This window comes from Homo sapiens, chromosome 8 (assembly GCF_000001405.40).
Source record: "Homo sapiens chromosome 8, GRCh38.p14 Primary Assembly".
Taxonomy (NCBI): domain Eukaryota; kingdom Metazoa; phylum Chordata; class Mammalia; order Primates; family Hominidae; genus Homo; species Homo sapiens.
In genome coordinates this window covers 39728293-39748835 of record NC_000008.11, presented here as the reverse complement: position 1 = coordinate 39748835, position 20543 = coordinate 39728293, and the positions used below count along the sequence as shown (strand labels likewise).

The following is a 20543-nucleotide window of genomic DNA, read 5'->3' as shown; positions in this document are numbered from 1 at the left end:
TGGAGGTATAGAGAATATACAGTCACTGTTGGAGATTCTGGAGAGGAAGGGGGAATAATATCAGAGCTATTTTTACTCTTCGAATCCTCCAGATATTACTTAGTGATTCCCAGTGATCAAAACTGACTGGAAGACAGCAGGTCAAGGAACTTGGGCAGTGCGGTTCCCTGTGATATTGATCAAAGCAGAGGAAAAGCCTAGATGAATTTTAGAGAAAGCCAGAAGTTAACTGGCATATCCAATAATACTTAGGACCAGGAGATTTTCTTTGATATAAAAATCTAAATGTACATACAAGTAGAGCCATTTTTCTGATTTTGAGTCATAGGTAGTTATTAATTCCAGTATCTGGAAATATTATATTTAATGTTATATAGTAATAGATTAGTAAGTTTAAAACTTTGTAATTAATGTATTTTCAAGCTATTTCCATTTTACTAGCAACAATTAGCTTATCTTCCCATTGGCTGCAATTAATTGTTTCTATTCATGCACACACATGCCATTTCCCAATGAGCAGTGGAGACCACTCCTTTCCAGGTTGGTTTTAGTGGTATGATTGATCAATAAAATGTGAAGAACTAACATTCTAGGACTCTCGTGGTCTTCCTACAGACTCTAGCCAGGTATTTTGCAGCCCTTACTTCTCTCATTCCCTGAAATCTCATTCTCTCATTCACTTCTTGAAAATTATCAGCAATATTTGAAATTTGATTGCACTCAGAAACAAAAATACAACCATCTAATAAGCCCTCCTCAAATTCATAACCAACAAAATTGTGAGCAAAATCTAGTGTTTTAAGTTACTAAGCCTTGAGGTAATTTCTTATACAGCAATAAATAATAAAAAACATTTAGCTCCCAATATGTTGTGTAATAGAAATATAAAATGTGACCTTAGCTTTGAAATTGGATAGTGCATGGAAGACAGAAAGGCAGGAAACTATTGAAGTCTTAGTACATGTTGAAGTTGGTGAGCAATTCAAGGACAGTTTAAAAACACGTTGCAGAAAGTGAAACCATTATTATGAAGTGGTAAATTGTTTGGCATCACTGCTGCCTTTGGTAATGTGGAAAATTGAACTCATGCCTACTATGAAACTACTGGAAGAAAATGTTAATAAGGCACTCTAGGACATTGGTCCAAGCAAGGATTTTATTGGTTTGAAAGTAAAACTAATTTTCATTCTCCACAAGTTTCTTAAAGTAAGAAACAATGAAAGGCCAAATTTGAGATTAGAGCAATAAAATTTTATCTCAAATCAAAATTAAGCAAGGCCTTTGACTGTAAACACCTCTGTTAAAATCTCAGAAAAACTTAAGTTGATATATCTTAGAGACTCTTTCTTCTATACAAAAGGCCTTCTAAGTATTTTATGTAAATGCATCATAAAAAGTTTCAAACAGTAAGGCTACTAAGAATTTTAAACTGGTCATTTCATAACAGCCTCACAGGATCCAATACAGAGAAAGGCTTATGTCAAAGAGATTTGCGAGTGTGGCCTTTGTTTAATGGATTGTGTTTTTATTTGATACATGAGAAATTCAAGGAATTATATTAGCTCAGACTGAAAGTGATCAAGGTAGCATGTACGTTCATTGGTCCCCAATCAACTATAGGCAAGAAACAGGCTGATAAAGGTAGTCAGATGTGAAAAGGACTATTTGGATTATAAACCAAAGGGCATAAACAAAAAGTCAGAAACCACACTTCTTAATCTGTGGGTTTATGATTTTTTAGGTCACCACCAACAAAAATAAACGACAACAAAAAACTATAGGCATAGATGGTTTCACAGGTGAACTGAACCAAATTCTTGGAAGAAAGCAATATTATTTTCAGAAAACAGTGGTGGGGAAGTTCCTGTCAACTCATTGTATGAGGAAAACATAATCCTGATGCCAAATTCAAACAAGGAACTCAACAAAGAAGAAAATCACAAAAAAAATTCTTCATGAACAGAGATACAAAAATCCTCAGCAAAGTATCAGCCCACCATATATAGCTATCCATTTTAAAAAGAGTTACAAGAGTCACTTTGGGCATTTATATTTTCAAGTTATCTATTTCATAGAAAATATGTTAATTTTTAAATTATTAAATTGTTCAAAGATTTTATTTTGGTAGACGTAGTAAAATACAGAAATATCTTTACTATATTTCTGGTGCTTGCTTTCAAATCTTTGATTTTTTTTTCTTCTAGAAAGGCGCTACATTGAGAACATTTACCATTCCAAACCAATGAGATGGCCATTTTTCTTATTCATTCCTTTCTTTATTATTTTCTGTGTACTGATTGCTATAATGGTGAAAGTTAATTTCCAAAGGAAAAAATGGAGAACTGAGGACTATTCAAGCGATGAGTATATTGATTTCATATTTAAGATTTGTTATTTGTATAATTTATGAACATAGTAAATAGCAATGTGGTCGATGTAATGAGTAATAATTCAAATTCAATTATTGTCTTTATATGGGAATTTAATAACTCATATATTAATAACTAATGGCCAGGGGTGGTGGCTCACGCCTGTCATCCCACCACTTTCTGAGGCCAAGGCGAGTGGATCACTTAAAGCCAGGAGTTCAAGACAAGCCTGGGCAACATGATGAAACCCCATCTCTCCAAAAATATACAAAAATTAGCCAGGCGTGGTGGCATGCACCTATAGTCCCAGCTACTCAGGAGGCTGAGGTGGGAGGATCACTTGAGCCTGGGAGGCAGAGGCTGCAGTGAGCCGAGATTGTGCCACTGCACTCTAGCCTAGGCAACAGAGTGAGACTGAGACTCAAAAAAGAAAAAATTATATATATATACACACACACACATGCACACACACACACACATACACATGCATATATACACATATAATAATTGCAATTTTAATCTTATAAGAATCTGGACTTTTTAGGGGCAAGATTAGCTAAAGTTTAGCTGTCCATTCAAGTTTAAAGTTTATCTTTAAAGTTTATCTATCTTCTTTTATTATTTGATCTTGTTAAATATGTATTTTAACTTAATAATACTTAAATAACTTTGTAATATTTCTATATCTTAGTGAATTTTTATGCTATTTTAATGAAAGGTAGTAGGAAAACCCAGGAAAGTAATTTAGCTTTTTTTTGGTAGTAATGTAAATTGAAGCACAGCAATTAGAAGTAGAAAAAGATTAAAAGTTAATAAGTAATAAAAGACTTAAAAATCTAGATGATAGCCACAGCTAGTCTACAGAAAATATAAAACAAATAACTTCTATTAAAAATAAAAATATCTGAATATGTGCTATAAAAATACAAGTAAACATTAAAACTGGTTTATTTATTTTCAAGGAAAATGCTACCAAATGATTTCTCCCTGGGAGTTATATAACTATGTCCTTCATTTTACTTGAAATGAATTGAATTTCATTAAAATACTTAAAATGACAATGTAAATGAAAATGGAATATATTTTAAAAGTTGATTTGAAATTGCTGAAATAATATACAGCACCTAAACGAGTAATAACTTAGTCATTATTTAAATATACTAAAGTGGTTTTCTTATATTGGATAACTATTGTGGAATAACTGATATCAAATATCTTCAGGGAAAAAAGCATAGCTAGTAAAATGAATAGAAATTAATAGGGTTGAAAATGAATGGCAAAAAGTTTAAAGATACTTAACCAATAATACTATGAATATAACAATGATCTAAGTTTCTTTTCGGGTAAACATATATCACTGTGCTTTTTTTTCATATTCACTGATGCAAAGATGTTCATTATTAGTCTTGATTACCAGGGCAGAGATGTTCTCAGTGATAGGGTATTCTCAAATAATGGGTGAACCCAGTTCTTAGGTAAAAATTCAGAACTGTTTCAAGACTGACAGATAATACAGAGGTTTGTAAAATCATCTTGAAGAAAGTATAATATTATTTTTATTTTTAATATGCAGGCAACCTGAAAGTGAGAGTGAACCTAAAGGGTAGTCTGGACAACAGAGATGCCATGATATCACTGTGAGTTTCTTTCATTTTTTTAAAATTTATTTTACTTTAAGTACTGGGACACAGGTGCAGAATGTGCAGGTTTGTTACATAGGTATACATGTGCCATGGTGGTTTGCTGCACCTATCAACCCGTCATCTAGGTTTTAAGCCCCACATGCATTAGGTATTGGTCTCAATGCTCTTCCTCCCCTTGCCTCCCAACCCCCGACAGGTTCTGGTGTGTGATGTTCCCCTCCCTGTGTCCATGTGTTTTCATGATTCAGCTCCCACTTATGAGTGAGAACATGCGGTGTTTGGTTTTATGTTCCTGTGTGTGTTTGTTGAGAATGATGGCTTCCAGCTTCATCCATGTCCCTGCAAAGGACATGAGTGAGTTCCAAATATTTTAAGGATGGGGGGGTTGGGGGGAGGAGAGAGAAAGAACGTAATATATTAAATAAATATATATTAAGTAGTGACAGTCATATAGCTATATATAATAAAAATAAATTGGAGACTATTTTTCGGAATTATATTTTTCAGAATTTATAATAGACATGATCAAGTTATAAATGATTTTGAAATTTTCCACTTAAAAATTTATTACAGTGTTATTTTTTAATTATTTTCTTTAGTTAATTTTACTTCTTTAGCATTTGTATATTTAAAATGTTGGCTAAAAATAAATTGCATGATATAAGTCTACTTTGCAATAAGGTTACTTGCATGCTATTTGTTGAACTAGCTATCATTTCAACTTGTTGATAACGGTGACTTTTTTTTTCATTTATTCAGTCTTCTAGAGTAATTATCTGTGATGGATGGACACAAAAAAATGGAAAGAAAAGAATGTACATTACCTGGTTTCCTGGGATTCAAACCTGCATATTGTGATTTTAATTTGACCAGAAAATATGATATATATGTATAATTTCACAGATAATTTACTTATTTAAAAATGCATGATAATGAGTTTTACATTACAAATTTCTGTTTTTTTAAAGTTATCTTACGCTATTTCTGTTGGTTAGTAGACACTAATTCTGTCAGTAGGGGCATGGTATAAGGAAATATCATAATGTAATGAGGTGGTACTATGATTAAAAGCCACTGTTACATTTCAAATTGCAATGGTATGTGTTATGTTATAGTGTGATGGTCTGAAATCAATCAAAGGCAATGATCCTAAAATTTGGAAAAATTTTTCACCATATGCTGCTGAAAAAAGATACATTTTCAAGTATATAAACATTTAAAGTAAAGGATGATATTATTTCAGTCCTACACATGCTGATTCCTTTCATGAGGTCAGCAAAAATTAGTAACAAAACATGACAAGGATTATTCAGCCTGAAAAAAGAAGGAAATCTTGTTATATGCAGTAACATGGGTGAAATTTAAGGACGTTATGCTAAGTGTAATAAGCCAATCACAAAAAGGCAAATATTGCATGATTCCATTTATATGAGGTATCTAAAACAGTCAAACTATTTGACTCAATTATCTGATTTATAAGCATATACTCACGCAAGACACACAGATTTTAAGATACTAGAAATAGATTTGAAGTTTTTTAATCTGATGAAAGGGATCAACAAAACATTTATATAATGAAAATAATTAATATTGAATTTTCTAGTCTTTCCTCCTAATATTGTGAAGAAGTTAAGAAAATTCACTATTAACATTTTTATATATCTTTGTGGAAATAGTAGTCAGTAAATATGGCTACAAAAAAGTAAAAAATAAACTTTAAATAGGAATCTTTATACAAAGAAAATCTTATTATAATATAAACACAGAAAATCCAAGATAATCTATAGATAAAATATTTTAACTACCAAGTGAATCTGAAAAATCCATTGGGTGTAAATTTAATACACAAGTATCCCATTTACATATAAAATAAAAATGTAAACACTAGAATATTTAAAAGAATATTATTTACATTAGCACTAAACATATTAAATCCTTGGAAATAACCATTCTAGGAAAACTATGACACCTATACATACAAAATGACAAATTACTATTAAAAGAAATTAAAGATAGTGTTAGGCCATTCTTGCATTGCTATAAAGAAAAACCTGAGGCTGGATTTTTTTTTTTTTTGAGACAGAATTTCACCCTTGTTGCCTAGGCTGGAGTGCCAATGGCATGATCTTGGCTCACTGCAGCCTCTGCCTCCCAGGTTCAAGTGATTCTCCTGCGTCAGCCTCCCGATTAGCTGGGATTACAGGCGCACACCACTACGCCCGAATAATGTGTGTATGTTTAATACAGATGGGGTTTCGCCATGTTGGCCAGGCTGGTCTTGAACTCCTGACCTCAGGTGATCCGCCCGCCTTGGCCTCCCAAAGTGCTGGGATTACAGGCGTGAGCCACCACGCCCGGCTGAGGCTGGGTAATTTGTAAGTAAATCACACTACCTAACTTCAAAATGTGCAAACACCATGGTACTGGCATAAAAGCAGACATGTAGACCAATGGAACAGAATAGAGAGCCAAGAAATAAATCTGTGCATTTACAGCCAACTGATTTTCGACAAAGGCACCAAGAATACATATGAGGAAAAGTTTCTTCAACAAATGATGTTGACAAAACTGGTTACCTATATGCAGAAGAATGAAATTAGATCCTATATATCTTAGATATATAGGATCTAATATATACATAAATTATCTCAAAATGAATCAAAGACTTAAATATAAGACCTGAAATTGTAAAAGTATAGGGGAAGAAAAACATAGGGGAAAAGCTCCACGACATTTAGTCTGGGTAAAGACTTTTTGGAATATGACCTCAAAGTACAGACAACAAATGCAAAAATAGACAAATAGAATTGCACCATACTAAAAAGCTTCTGTACAGCAAATGAGACTCAACAGAGTGAGGTGACAGCTTAAAGAAAAAGAGAAAAGATTGGCAAACTATACATCTGATAATAAGTTAATATTCAAAATATTAACAAACTCAAACACCAAGAAGACAAATAGCCTAATTAAACAATGGACACAATAAAGGAATAGACTTTCTCAAAAGAATACATACAAATGGCCAACAGGTAAACTAAAAAATGCTCAATATCACTACTCATCAGAAAATGTATATCAAAACCACAATAAGATATAATGTTAGATTGGCTGTTATCAAAAGATAAAAGATAACAAGTACAGATGAGGATGCAGAAAAAACAGAACACTTATACACTGTTGTTGGGAATATAAATTAATACAATCATTATAGAAAACAGTATGGAGGTTCCTCAAAAAATTAAACATAGAAGTACTGTATGACTCAGCAGTCCCACCACTGGTTATGTATTCAAAGTAAATAAAATCAGTATGTTGAATAGATGTCTGCACTACCTGGTTTACTGCAGCACACACAATAGGGTCAAGATATGGAATCAAGCTAAATGTCCATCAACCAATGAATGGATAAAGAAAATACAGTACATATATACAATAATTCAGCCATAAAAAGGGAAATTATCTCATTTGCTACAACATTTATGAACTAGAGGCCATGACGTTAAGTAAAAGAAGCCACAGAAAGACAAATATCACATCATCTCACTCATGTGGGATCTATAAATACTGATTTCATAGAAGTAGAGAGTAGAATGATGGTTACCAGAAGCTGAAGTGATTAGAAGACAAAAGGGGTTTGGGGAAATGTTGGTCCAAGGGTACATATTTACAGTTAAATAGGGGGAATATTCTCAAGAGATCTATCGTGTTGACTATAGTCAATGATGGTGTATTTTATTATTGAAAAACACAGAAAGCAGATTGTGTTTGCACCACAATAATGTTAACTATTTGGGATAATGAATTTATCAGTTAGTTACATTTAATCACTCCACAATGTATACATGTTTCCAAACATTATGTTACAATGATAAGTACATGCAATTTTATCTGTCAATTGAAAAAAAGTGGACTTAATACAAAAAGGAAAAGATAAAGTAGACATAATAACAGGCCCACTGACTGAAATTGTTTCATTAGTTTTAAATATGTGGTTAAAAAAAAAGAAATAAATGAAGTTTCTACTAAGAAGTTGATAGCACTTTATCAATATTTGAGAGGTAAGTGACCTGCTCCAGCGCCAACCCCAACTCATAGACCAATGGCATATGAAATTTATCTATTCTAGTCCAGTGGAGTTCAAATCTAATCATGAGGACTGTAATTTAGAACAGAAAATAGTTAAAGAATGAGCTGAATTTAATAACCAATTTAAAGCCATAAATCTGAAAAAGACTGACAGGGAGGCCAAAATATATTGGTCCAGCCTTTTTTGGGGCAGAATCAATAGTTTGAGTAAAGTGGCCTGAGTTGGTATGCAAATTATCTTAGAACTGTTACCTACAAGAACTCAATGTACCGTAATCCCTCCGAGAGACAAGAAGGACCTAAGATGTATGTGAGTGAAATGGAAATACCATAGTGGAAATGTGAAATTACAGATAGTAAAGTTTGATTCTAAAGACTGCACCATGGTTACTTTCTTTTTACCCGAACATATAATTGGTATGGGTGTTATGTGTGAATGGGGTGTATTGTCCTTTTCATGGGAGGAAGGGGAAGGACATTGATTAAAGTTTACCCTTTAACTAATTTTTGCAGCTATACTAAATGAGAACTTTTAGAATGGTCCATGCCCTCCTCAATATCAAACATTAGGCAATAAAGAATTCCACCGGGGCAATAAGAGAACATTACTTTAATTAAGGAAATGGTTGTGGTCAGAGTTTTAATTCTCATTTTCTTTTTAAATGCACTGCTTCGTTAGATGCAAAGCTAAATATGAAGTAAACTTCCTTTCTCAGAAACTTTTGTGTCAGTTATAATGTATTTATCTAAATCTACCATCTCTATCTATCTATCTATCTATCTATCTATCTATATCTCTACCTCCCTACCTATTTATTTGGTACTAAGCAATCTTTCACAGTCTTAAGAACTTAGAGATAATAAAGGCTAAACAACACTAGAACATGGAATAATTTAATATGATTAGTAATTGCCTCAGCAAGGAACACTATAAATTTACAATACATTTGAAATATAAAATCTTTATCAGAATCTCTCTCAGGCTCATATGTTTCAAGATGAGAACATAATTTACAGATTCGGCCCATATAAAGATATTTAAGATTGGATATTTGATGGGACTCAAAGCCTCAGTAGAGCATACTCATATTAAATGTTCTATTCAAAGACGAAGGATTTGGTGTCACAAGAGAGAGTGCTGGTGAGCCCCAGGGATCCAATAGACATCCACATGCAAAGTCCCTGGGGTTCTTATTAATATCTGTACACAGAGACTCATGGCTTAATCTCTTCATGAAATGACAAAGGTTTGTGGAATAAATTCTGTCTCTAGGAAAGCTCATGAAAGAAGTTCCCAGTGGAGCCTTTATGCATTTATGTACAGAATGAAAATCCAGGTTGTATAACCAGGTTTTCCAGGTAAGTCAATTGGTCCTGGAGGTTTTCAGGGAATTATACCTTAAACAGCAAATTATACATATTCCTTCTCTCACTTAAGTCAAGAGTCACAGCTAAACATTCAGGCATCCACAGATATAAGAATAGAGTTCTCCCAGTTTATTTGTAAAATAAATCTACCCTCCCTGTATAATCCGCCACTGACTTTCTCATCACTGGTTAGGAACATTTAATTATAAATTACTTGCGATCATTGTTCTTCTGCAAATTTCTTACAGTGCAGTTAAAGCAGCAAGAAAATTTCCAAAGTAGTAATTATTTATTTTATGGTCCAAAATATGATCTATCTTGGTGAATGGTCCATGTGCACTTGAGAAGATTGTGTATCCGGATGTTGGGTGTCTGAATGCCAATTAGATCAATTCGCTTGATGGCTTTCTTCACATCATCTATATCTTTACTGATTTTCTTCTCAGCAGTTCTAACAGATATTGAAAGAGGAATAATGAAATCTACAACTATAATTGAGGACGTGTCTGTTTCTCTTTTCAGATCTGTCAGTTTTCTGTCAAGCATACACATTTAGTATTGTTATGTCTTCTTGGAGAATTTTCCCCTTATAATTTGTAATGTCTCCTTTTTCTCTGAAAACTGTCTGTTGGAATATCTATTTTATCTGAAATTAGGATAAGTACCTGGACCTACTTTAATTAGTGTTTGCCTGATACATTTGTCTTTTTACTTTTGACCTATCTAAATTTTTATATTTAAAAGAGGTTTATCATAGAGGCATACATATGGGCCTTGCTTTCTAATTCAATCAGTTATCACATAACTTGTATTTAGTCCAGTGGTTAGCATACATTTTTTTCTGTAAAGAGCCAGATAATAAACGTTTTTGGCATTATGAGTCACATGGCTTCTGTTGCAAATCCTCCACTGTGCTGTTACAGTGTCAAAATGACAATGCAACATTTCTTTTCTTTTTCTTTCTTTCTTTTTTTTTTTTTTTTTGATACAGAGTCTTGTTCTTTTGCCCAGGCTGGAGTGCAGTGACATGATCTCAGCTCACTGCAACCTCTGTCTCCCAGGTTCAAGTAATTCTCCTGCCTCAGCCCCCCAGGTAGCAGGGATTACAGGCACCCCTCACCACGCCTGGCTAATTTTTGTATTTTTAGTAGAGAGGGGGTTTACCATGCTGACTAGGCTGGTTTCAAACTCCTGACCTCAGGTGATCCACCCACCTCAGCCTCCCAAAGTGCTGGGATTACAGGTGTGAGCCACCGTACCTGGCCAAAAATGCAGCATTTCATTGTTACACCACATTTTGTAAATAAAGTACATTTCATCCATTCATTATTATATTTTTATTTGTTATATATCAGTTGACAGACATTTGGACTCTTTCCACTTTTTCTCTATTATGAATAATGCTGCTATGAACTCTAATGTACCAGTTTTTTGTGGACATATGTTTCTATTTCTCTTGGATATTTACCTAGAAGTGAAATTGCTGGATTATAAAGTAATGATGTCACAGTAATCATTCAATTTGTCAATTATCTCCATTGGTTTACTTTCAAAAAATATTCAAACTTTGACTACACTTACCATTCCTAGTTTGAACCACCGTCGTTACTCTCCTTGACTATTGTTACAGCCCCCATACTTGCTTCATCCACTTTTCCCCTTGCCTATCTATAATCTATTTGCAAAAAATTAGTCTTTTAAAGTGTAAGTTATATTGATTGACATTAAGACCTAATACTATAGTTTGGATGTTTGTCCACCCAAAACGTCATGTTGAAATTTGATTTCCAGTATTAGAAGTGGGTCCTAATGGGAGGTGTTTGGGTCATGGGGGCAGATCCCTCATGAATTACTGGGTGCCATCCTCATGGTAACGGGTGTGTTCTCCCTTATTAGTTCCTATAAGAGCCGGTTGTTAATAAGAGCCTGGCACCTCCCCCTATGTCTCGCTTCCTCTCTCACCATGTGAGATTTGCACGTGCCTGTTCCCATTTACCTTCCACCATGAGTAAAAGCACCTGAGGATTTCACCAGAGATCAATCTTGCATCCAACAGAATTGTGAGCAGAATAAACCTTTTTATAATAAAAAAAAAAAAGTACCCAGTCTCACATATTCCTTTATAGCAACACAAAACAAAGACAACTTACATGAGATTTACTTTTCTGACCTACACTACAACAACCCTCTGACTAACTCCACCAAGAAGTTCTCTGACATAGCCTGGAGACATTTTCCCCATTGTCCTGATGATTAACATTCAGCTTCTCATTACTTGTGCAAATTTCTGCAGCTGGCTTGATTTTCTTTTTCCCAGAAAATGGGTTTTTCTTTTTCTATTACATCATTAAGCTGCAAATTTTTCAAACTTTTATGCTCTGCTTTCTCTTGAGTCCATTGCTGCTTAGAAATTTCTTCCACCAGATACTCCAAATCATCTCTCTCAAGTTCAAAATTTCACGTATCTCTAGGGCAAGGGCAAAAAGCCACCAGTCTCTTTGCTAAAGCACAGAGTCACCTTTTCTCCAGTTCCCAACAAGTTCCTCATCTCCATCTGGGACCACATCAACCTGAACTTCATTGTTCATAACACTATCAGCATTTTCATCAGTCATTCAACAAGTCTCTAGAAAGTTCCCAACTTTCCCACATTTTCCTCTTTTCTTCTGAGCCCTCCAAACTGTTCCAACCTCTGCCTGTTACCCAGTTCCAAAGACGCTTCCACATTTTTGGGTATCTTTACAGCAGCACCCCTCTCTACTGGTACCAATTTACTGTATTAGTCTGTTCTCATGCTGCTAATAAAGACATACTGAAGACTGAGTAATTTATAAAGGAAAAGAGGTTTAATGGACTCACAGTTCCACGTGGCTGGGGAAGCCTCAAAATCATGGCAGAAGGCAAAAGAGGAGCAAAGCCATATCTTACATGGCAGCAGGCAAGAAAGAGCATGTGGAGGGGAACTGCTCTTTATAAAACCATCAGATCTTGTGAGACTTATTCACTATCATGAGAACAGCACAAGAAATACCCACCCCCATGATTCAATTACCTCTCACCAGGTCCCTCTCATGACGCATGGGAATTATGGGAGCTACAATTCAAGATTTGGGTGGGGCACAGCCAAACCGTATCACTGTATCTTTGTTCTCATTTGTTTCAAAGAACTTCTTGATTTCTGCCTTAATTTTATTATTTACCCAAATGTCATTCATGAGCATGTTTAATTTTCATGTAATTGCATGGTTTTGAGTGGTTTTCTTAGTCTTGACTTATATTTTTATTGCACTGTGGTCTGAGAGTGTGTTTGGTATAATTTGTTTTTTTTTTTTTTTTTTTTTGCATTTGCTAAGAATTGCTTTATGTCCAATTACGTGGTTGACTTTAGAGTATGTGCCATGTGGCAATGAGAAGAATGTATATTCCGTTATTTTCTAGTGGAGAGTTCTGTAGATGTCAAACAGATACATCTGGTCCAATGTTGAGTTCAGGTCCTGAATATCTATTAATTTTCTGCTTTGATGATCTGCCTAATGCTGTTTGTGGAGTGTTGAATTTTTCCACTATTATTGTCTAGGAGTCTATGTTTCTTTGTAGGTGTAGGCTGCAGCCTTGTAGGTAGATCTCAGACTGCTGCGCTAGCAGTGAGCAAGGCTCCGTAGGTGTGGGACCTGCCGAGCCAGGCATGGGAAAGAATCTCCTGGTCTGCCAGTTGTTAAGACCATGGGAAAGCACAGTATTTGGGTGAGACTGTCCCGTTTTTCCAGGTACAGTATGTCATGGCTTCCCTTGGCTAGGAAAGGAAAAATCCCCTAACCCCTTGTGCTTCCTGGGTGAGGCGATGCCCCACCCTGCTTCAGCTCACCCTCTGTGGGCTGCACCCACTCTCCAACCAGTCCCAATGAGATGAACCAGGTACCTTAGTTGGAAATGCAGAAATCACCTGTCTTCTGCATCGATCACACTGGGAGCTGCAGACCACAGTTGTTCCTATTCAGCCATCTTGGAAAGGACCCTGGGTTTTCTCTGTGTCTTATGTCTTTTCTCTTCCTTTTTTCCCTCCATTACTGCTTTCTTTGAGGTAAATGGACATTTTTGAGTTACTATTTTAATTTTATTTTCTTTAACATATATTTTTGAATTGTCTCCTTAGTGACTGGTCTGAGGTTTACATTAATATCTTAAATTTATAACAATGTAGTTTGAAGTAATGCCAATTTAATTTCAATAGTATACAGGCTTAGCTTATATGTAGCTCTGTCCTCTGCTCCAGTATACTTTGTCTTATTGTCACAAATTACATACTTACTATTGTGTACCCATCAATTTAGATTCATAATTATTGCTTTATGTAGCTGTCTTTTGAATAAGATAGGATATGAAAATTACAACCAAAATAAACTTATATTGTCTTTTATATTTACCTTCATAGTTACCCTTAATGGTGCCTAATTTTTGTTCATATGGATTCAGTTCTTTTATAGGGTAGCTCTGCTAGTGCCAAATTCTCTCAGTTTTTGTCTGTCTGAGAATGTCTTAATTTCTTCTTCATTTTTGAAGGATGGTTTTGCTCAATATAGAATTATTGATTGATCATTTCTTTCCTTCAGAACTTTGACTATTTCATCTTACTCTCTTGTGGCCTCCATGGTTTCTAATGATAAATCAACTATTATTCTTATTCAGCATTGTTTGTATGTGACAAAGTTATTTGTCTTTTGCTATTTTCAGGATTCTGTATTTTTTTGTTTAATGTTTCTGGAGTTAAACATCTTTTCATGTGCTTATTTGGCCATTTGTTTGTCTTTGGAAAAATGTCTATTCAAGTCCTTTTGAACTGTTTTTTTGCTTTGAGTTTTAGAAGTTGCTGAATTTTAGAAGTTGTATATCTATTCTGGATATTAATCCATTATAAGTTGTGATTTATAAATATTTTCTCTCATTCTGTTGGTTGCCTTTTCACTCTATTTTTTTTTGCTTAAAAGTTTTTAATTTTTGTAAGGTCTGTTTTGTCTATTTTTTTCTTTTGTTATTTGTACCTTGATATCATCTCCAATAAATCATTCCCAAATTAAACATCATGAAGCTTTTGGCCTATATTTTTTTCTAAGGCTTCTACAGTTTTAACCCTTACATGTAAGTCTTTGATATAGTTTGAGTTAATTTTTGTATGTGGCCTTAGGTAAGGGTCCAACTTTATCCTTTTGCTTGTGGAAATCTAGTTTTCCCAACATGATTTGTTTAAAAGACTGCCCTTCCCCTATTTGTCTTGGGTACTTTATTAAAGATCATTTAATTATACTCCTGCAGGTTTGTTTCTGGTCTTTCTAGTCTGTTACTTTGGTCTGTATATCTGTCTTTACATCCAGCTGTATTAATTTCTGTAGATTTTTAGGTAATTTTAAAATCAGAAAGTGTGAGTCCTCCAACTTTGTTCTTTTTCAGAACTATTTTGGCTAGTCAGAATCCTTTGAGATTCCATATAAATTTTAGAATAAGTTTTTCTATTCCTGCATGAAAGCCATTAGGATTCTGTTTGGGATTGCATTTAATCTGATCAATTTACATAATACTGGCATCTTAAATATAAAGTCTTCTAATCCATGCACATGGGATAACTTTCCATTTACTTATGTCTTTACTTTCTTTAAACAATATTTTGTAGATTTCATTGTACACATCTTTCAGCAGCTCTTTGGTTAAATTTATTTGTAATTATTTCATTCTATTTAATGCTATTGTATATTTAATTTTTAATTTCCCTTTTAGATTGTTTATTGTTAGTGTAAATAAATGCAACAGTTTTTTCCTTTTGTTTTCCAAGATGAGGTCTTGCTTTGTCACCTAGGCTGGAGTGCAGTGGTATGATCTCAACTCACTGCGGCCTGAACTCCTGGGGTTAAGCGATCCTTTCGGCTACAAGTGTGCCATCAGGGCCAGCTAATTTTTTAAAAAATTTGTTTTAGAGATGACTTCTTGCTATTTTGCCCAGGTTGGTCTTGAACTTCTTCCCTCAAGCAATCCTCCTGCCTCAGCCTCCCAAGTAGCTGAGATCACAAATGTGAACCACATGCCTGGGCAAAAGCAACTAATTTTTGGGTGTTGATTTGGTATCCTGCTACTGCACTGAATTTATTAGTTATAGCATGGTGTGTGTGTGTGTGTGTGTGTGTGGATGTGTGTGCATTTGTGTGTAGTGTTCTCTATAGATAAGATTCTACCACTGAGAACAGAGATTTTACTTTGTCTTTCCAGTTTGGATGCTTTTTGTCTTGCTTAATTGCTCTAAGTAGATCTTCCAGTACTGTGTTGAATAGAAGCAGTGAAAGTGGACATCATTACCTTGTTCCTGATCTTGGAGTAAATGTTTTCACTCTCACCATTACATATGATATTCATTGTGGGTTTATCATATATACTTTTAACTATTTTGTGATAGTTTCCCTCTATTCCTAGCTTCTTGAGGCTTTTTTATCATTAAGTATACTGAATTTTATCAAATGCTTATTCTCCTTCACTTAGGATGACCATGTGGTTTTTTTCTTTCATTCTATTACATGGATTGGTTTTCATATGTAGAACTTCATGATGTATCTTATAACTGTATTTGATACAAACTGTATAGGAAACAAGCCAATGAAATATTTTCCTTTCCTCTTTTATCCTATTGTTTGAGAATAAAGACATATATTTTGCCTTCTACATTCTGGATATCAAGTAATGGCATCACAATATACACAGTTGCTTAAGGCACAAATCTATATTTCAACAACATAACTTACCTGTACCTTACTCATAATAACAAAAAATGTGAAAAACAAGTTTTATGTATCATGGTTAAACGCCTTATAAAATATCTCATAAAGTCTCACAGCATACTCACAAGTTAGGTATAACTTTACCTATTTTACTGTTAAGAAAATTAGAATTGTTTTGAAACACAGCCAGTAAGTGATTGAGACTTGGATGTGTCACTTCCTTTAACACTTTTCAGCTTTCTAACCATTATCGTACATATGGTATTAATTAATTTTTCAGAGCTCAAGTATCTTTTGCTAAATTTTCTAATTCTAAGAATTTGTATGAAAAAATCTCTTAGCATAAATGTTTAATTGTGCACTTTTTTGTCAATAAAGGATCCATTCTACAGGTGTGCAGTGACATTACATTGCATGTGATTTTCACTGGCATTTCCCTGATGATAGTGATGCTGACCATTTTTTCATACAATTCTTGGCCATTTGGATGGCTTCTTTTGAGAAATGTCGATTCAGGTCCTTTGCCCATTTCAAAATAATATTATTTGTTTTCTTGTTATTGAGTTTAGTCACCTATAAATTTTGGATATTAACCCCTTACCTGATGTATAATTTGCAAATATTTCCTATTATATAGGTTGTCTCTTCACTCTATTGACTGTTTCTTTTGCTATATCAAAGCTTTTTAGTTTAAAGTAATCCCTTGTTTTCTATTCTTGCTTTTCTTGTCTTTTGAGGATCAGAATAAACAAATATATAGAGCTAGAAGGTAGATAAGTGATTGCCTGGGGCTGGTGAAGTAAAGGAGAAGTAAAGGTGAAGTAAAGGTGAAGTAAAGGAAAGTAGGAGAAAACAATGGGGAGTGATTACTAATGTTTCTGGAGCTTCTTTTTTGGGTGATGAAATGTTCAAAAATTGATTATGGTGATGGTTGCATAATTCTGTGATCTTACTAAAACTATTACATTGCATACTTTTTTTTTTTTTAGACGGAGTCTCGCTCTGTCGCCCAGGCTGGAGTGCAGTGGCATGATCTCTGCTCACTGCAAGCTCCGCCTCCCAGGTTCACGCCATTCTACTGCCTCAGCCTCCCAAGTAGCTGGGACTACAGGCACCCGCCACCATGCCCAGCTAATTTTTTGTATTTTTAGTAGAGATGGGGTTTCAATGTGTTAGCCAGGATGGTCTCGATCTCCTGACCTCGTGATCCGCCCACCTTGGCCTCCCAAAGTGCTGGGATTACAAGAGTGAGCCACTACACCTGGCGCATTGCATGCTTTAAATGGGTGAATTGTATGATATGTTAGTTACGTCTCAATAAAGCTAGTTAAAATCAAGTTCAAGTTGGCTGTTTAGCCTTTTTATGTGCTAGGAATTTGGTATGCTTTCTTTTGTTTTTTTCTGAGACTGTATTTTTAAATATTTAAGAATTATTTCCCTAGTATGCATATACTACTTGAAGAATAATGAAAGAAAAAGTAAGTAAACCATTTATTTTCACTCAGGCAAAATGTAAGAACAAAGTAAATATGAGCACAAACATAATTTCACAGATGAATGTGTATAGATACATCAACATTATTGGTGTCTTTCTTAATATTCTGTGGCCATACAATTTGTAGAAATGGTGTTTCCGAATCTGCAGTAAGGAAAAACATGTGAGCATTCCCAGTGTATCACAGCATCCTTTCTTCACTCGTCTGCTCATCTTACATCACTATACTTCCAAGCCCCAATACACACACACACACACACACACACACACACACACACCCCACAAAACCAGACTTTGTCCAATTCCAGGAAGAGACTCCCCTAGAAGAGAAGAGGGAGTATTACCCAGAGTCATCCCCCACACTCTGGGTCTAGGTGACCTCAACCCAGAATGGGAAAGGAAATATGGGCTGTAGGTGTCAAACCCCATCCAGCCTCCCTCCTTCCCCCACCTCTCCAGGAAATGCACCCTCTTGAGCAGAGTCAGGTAAGTGAGGAACAGCTGTCTGAGTTCTGGGCTAAGCCCTCCAACTAGCAGGTTCAACCAGATGCCAATGGCACAGTGGCCCTGAAACTGGGCAGGCTCTGACTGTGCCCCTCCCCAGCCCGGCCTGAGGTTCAAGACCAAGGGGATGATGCCCGCCTGGCCTTGAAGCTCTGGGGCTCTGGAGCAACAAGCTCTGTTTCTTCTGCACAGCTTGGCCTGAGCTACTGGAACAGGGAGGGTGACACATGCTTCCTCTCTGGACACTGAAATGCAGTCCCCGTACGCAGCAAAAATTCTTCACTTGCAATCACCCGCGGAGGTCAACCGGCCCAGCCCTGAGAGGATCAGCAAGAGAGCATTGCGTGGCCAGCGGCCTCGCCACAGTGATGGCTGCTGAGCATGGAATGGGGGCTGCTTCTGGCCAGGGCTGGGGAGGCCGAGCAGATCCCAAGAACGGTGGGTTCTGGAGGGCACGGCCCAGACCCAGGTCTGTGGATCCCAGAGACTCTTGGAACTTGGAGTCAGGGTGTTCCCAACCACAGCAAGAGGCACTGGAGGAGGCACATGGGAGGGCACGCAGGCTTTATTTTCCAAAAGTTTGACATTTACAATGCATTGGGGATAACGTAAGGTTATAAATAAAGCACATTCGTTCCTTTAGGTTATTTGCTATGGAAGTTCTGTGCAATATTAATGTCCCACGTCATCGCTTTCTGATACAACGGATGAATTACTATAGTGAAGAAAAACAGAAAAAATAGAAATTCACAATATGTTTAGTAGTAGCCAATTGCCTATTTTAAACCATATTTACTACTGAATTTCTACTTTATAATTGCTAAAAATCAAAGATTATTATAGATAAGTTTGGTTATCTATATTATAGATGTTACATTATCTATATTATAGATAAATTTGGTTCTTATCTATATTATAGGTAACTTATCTATATTATAAGGAGTCCAACTAAAAAGCTAAACATAAAATAAATGTATATGTTTTTGTACCTTAGCATTGATTTATAATTTACCAGGCAAACTATGAAATGACTATGTAAAAACAATCAAAATCCATTTATTCAGTTTTATACACTTTGTTTCTTAGAAAAACCTACAGCTTAGGGAGACAAAATAAAAGGTTAGTCTTTATTTTTTTCCCCATTAATATGAAGTTCACACATGAAAACAATAGAGTTAACATGGAAATAATTTTCATTTTATAGTTAATATTCAGGTTGCTGACTTTAATTTTTTCACAATTTCCTTATTCACTTTATAAAAATACTTTGTGTAGTAAAATACACATTCTAACCATTTTTAGTGTACAGTTCAGTAGTACTAAGTACATTCATATTGTGAAACTATCACCATCTGTCTCCAGAAACATTTTCATCTTGCAAAAGTGAAATTCTGTGCTCAGTAAAGAATAACTCCTCATTGAATAATATGTATTCAACAAAAACTTCCCATCCTCTGTGGCCCACAAACACAAGAAAATATGCTCAATATCACTAATCATTAGGGAAATGCAAATCAAAACCACAGTGAGATATCTCCTCACACCCATTAGGATGGCCAATATGTTTTTTAAAAAAAGCAGAAAATAACAATCCTAGTAAGAATATGGGCAAACTGGAACCCTTTTGGACTGTTGGTGGGAATGAAAAATTGTAAAACTACTGTGGAACACAGTATGGCAGTTCTCAAAAATATAAAAATAGAATTACCTAATTTCAATTTTTTTGCCAGACATGCTTAAGTTGTCCTTCTATGGAATACTCTTGCTTGTATACCTTTCATGCAATATTTAAAAACAAAATCAAATATTGATTGTCTTCTCCAGTTTGTAGAAGGAAACAAAATAAGGTTGGCTTTTTTACAATTCATTTTTCCACACTTCCTTCTAAACATAAAATATTTGTTTGACTTACAAACAATAATAACATAAAAAAATAACTTCCAAATAGCCAAGATTTTTATTTCACTGAAGTATTTACTTTTTAACCATGTGCTTTTCGTTGTGATATATGTTGTATGTCATATTTATTTAAATAGTCCTATACACCTTAAAGACTTTATTTTTTATATATTTTGTTAATTCACATGATAATTGATAATAATTAATACCTCAGGATTTATTGTGTTGCTATTAAAGAATAATGACTTTCTGACTCTCTATGACTTGAACACATTTCTGAAGTCTACTATACATCACTGAAGGCATGATAAATAATACAGTTACTCATGATTTTATTAAAATCTCTGTTCATCAGTCAAGTAATCAAAACAGGAAATACATGTTCATTATTTAAATTTCTTAATTTTCTTTGACTGGTTAG

At 34.8% G+C, this 20543-nt stretch overlaps 2 protein-coding genes across 9 annotated transcripts in view; one reads left to right on the top strand and one right to left on the bottom strand.

Annotated features, from left to right (window-relative positions):
• ADAM2 (ADAM metallopeptidase domain 2) overlaps nucleotides 1-5101 on the top strand; it is a 94493-nt gene extending 89392 nt beyond the window's left edge. For all 6 annotated transcript variants that reach the window (NM_001437784.1, XM_011544479.1, NM_001278113.2 and 3 more), the window contains 3 exons: nucleotides 2205-2364; nucleotides 3943-4006; nucleotides 4772-5101. In NM_001437784.1, coding sequence (NP_001424713.1) covers nucleotides 2205-2364; nucleotides 3943-3976 — 194 coding nt within the window. In that variant the 3' untranslated portion in view covers nucleotides 3977-4006; nucleotides 4772-5101. The remainder of the gene's footprint in view (nucleotides 1-2204; nucleotides 2365-3942; nucleotides 4007-4771) is intronic.
• A 13669-nt stretch (nucleotides 5102-18770) lies between these two features.
• Nucleotides 18771-20543, bottom strand: part of ADAM18 (ADAM metallopeptidase domain 18) — a 145498-nt gene continuing 143725 nt past the window's right edge. For all 3 annotated transcript variants that reach the window (NR_135201.2, NM_014237.3, NM_001320313.2), the window contains one exon: nucleotides 18771-18938. Coding sequence is in view for 2 of the 3 variants with exons in the window: in NM_014237.3 (NP_055052.1) it covers nucleotides 18896-18938 (43 nt within the window). In the remaining variant the exon portion in view is untranslated. The remainder of the gene's footprint in view (nucleotides 18939-20543) is intronic.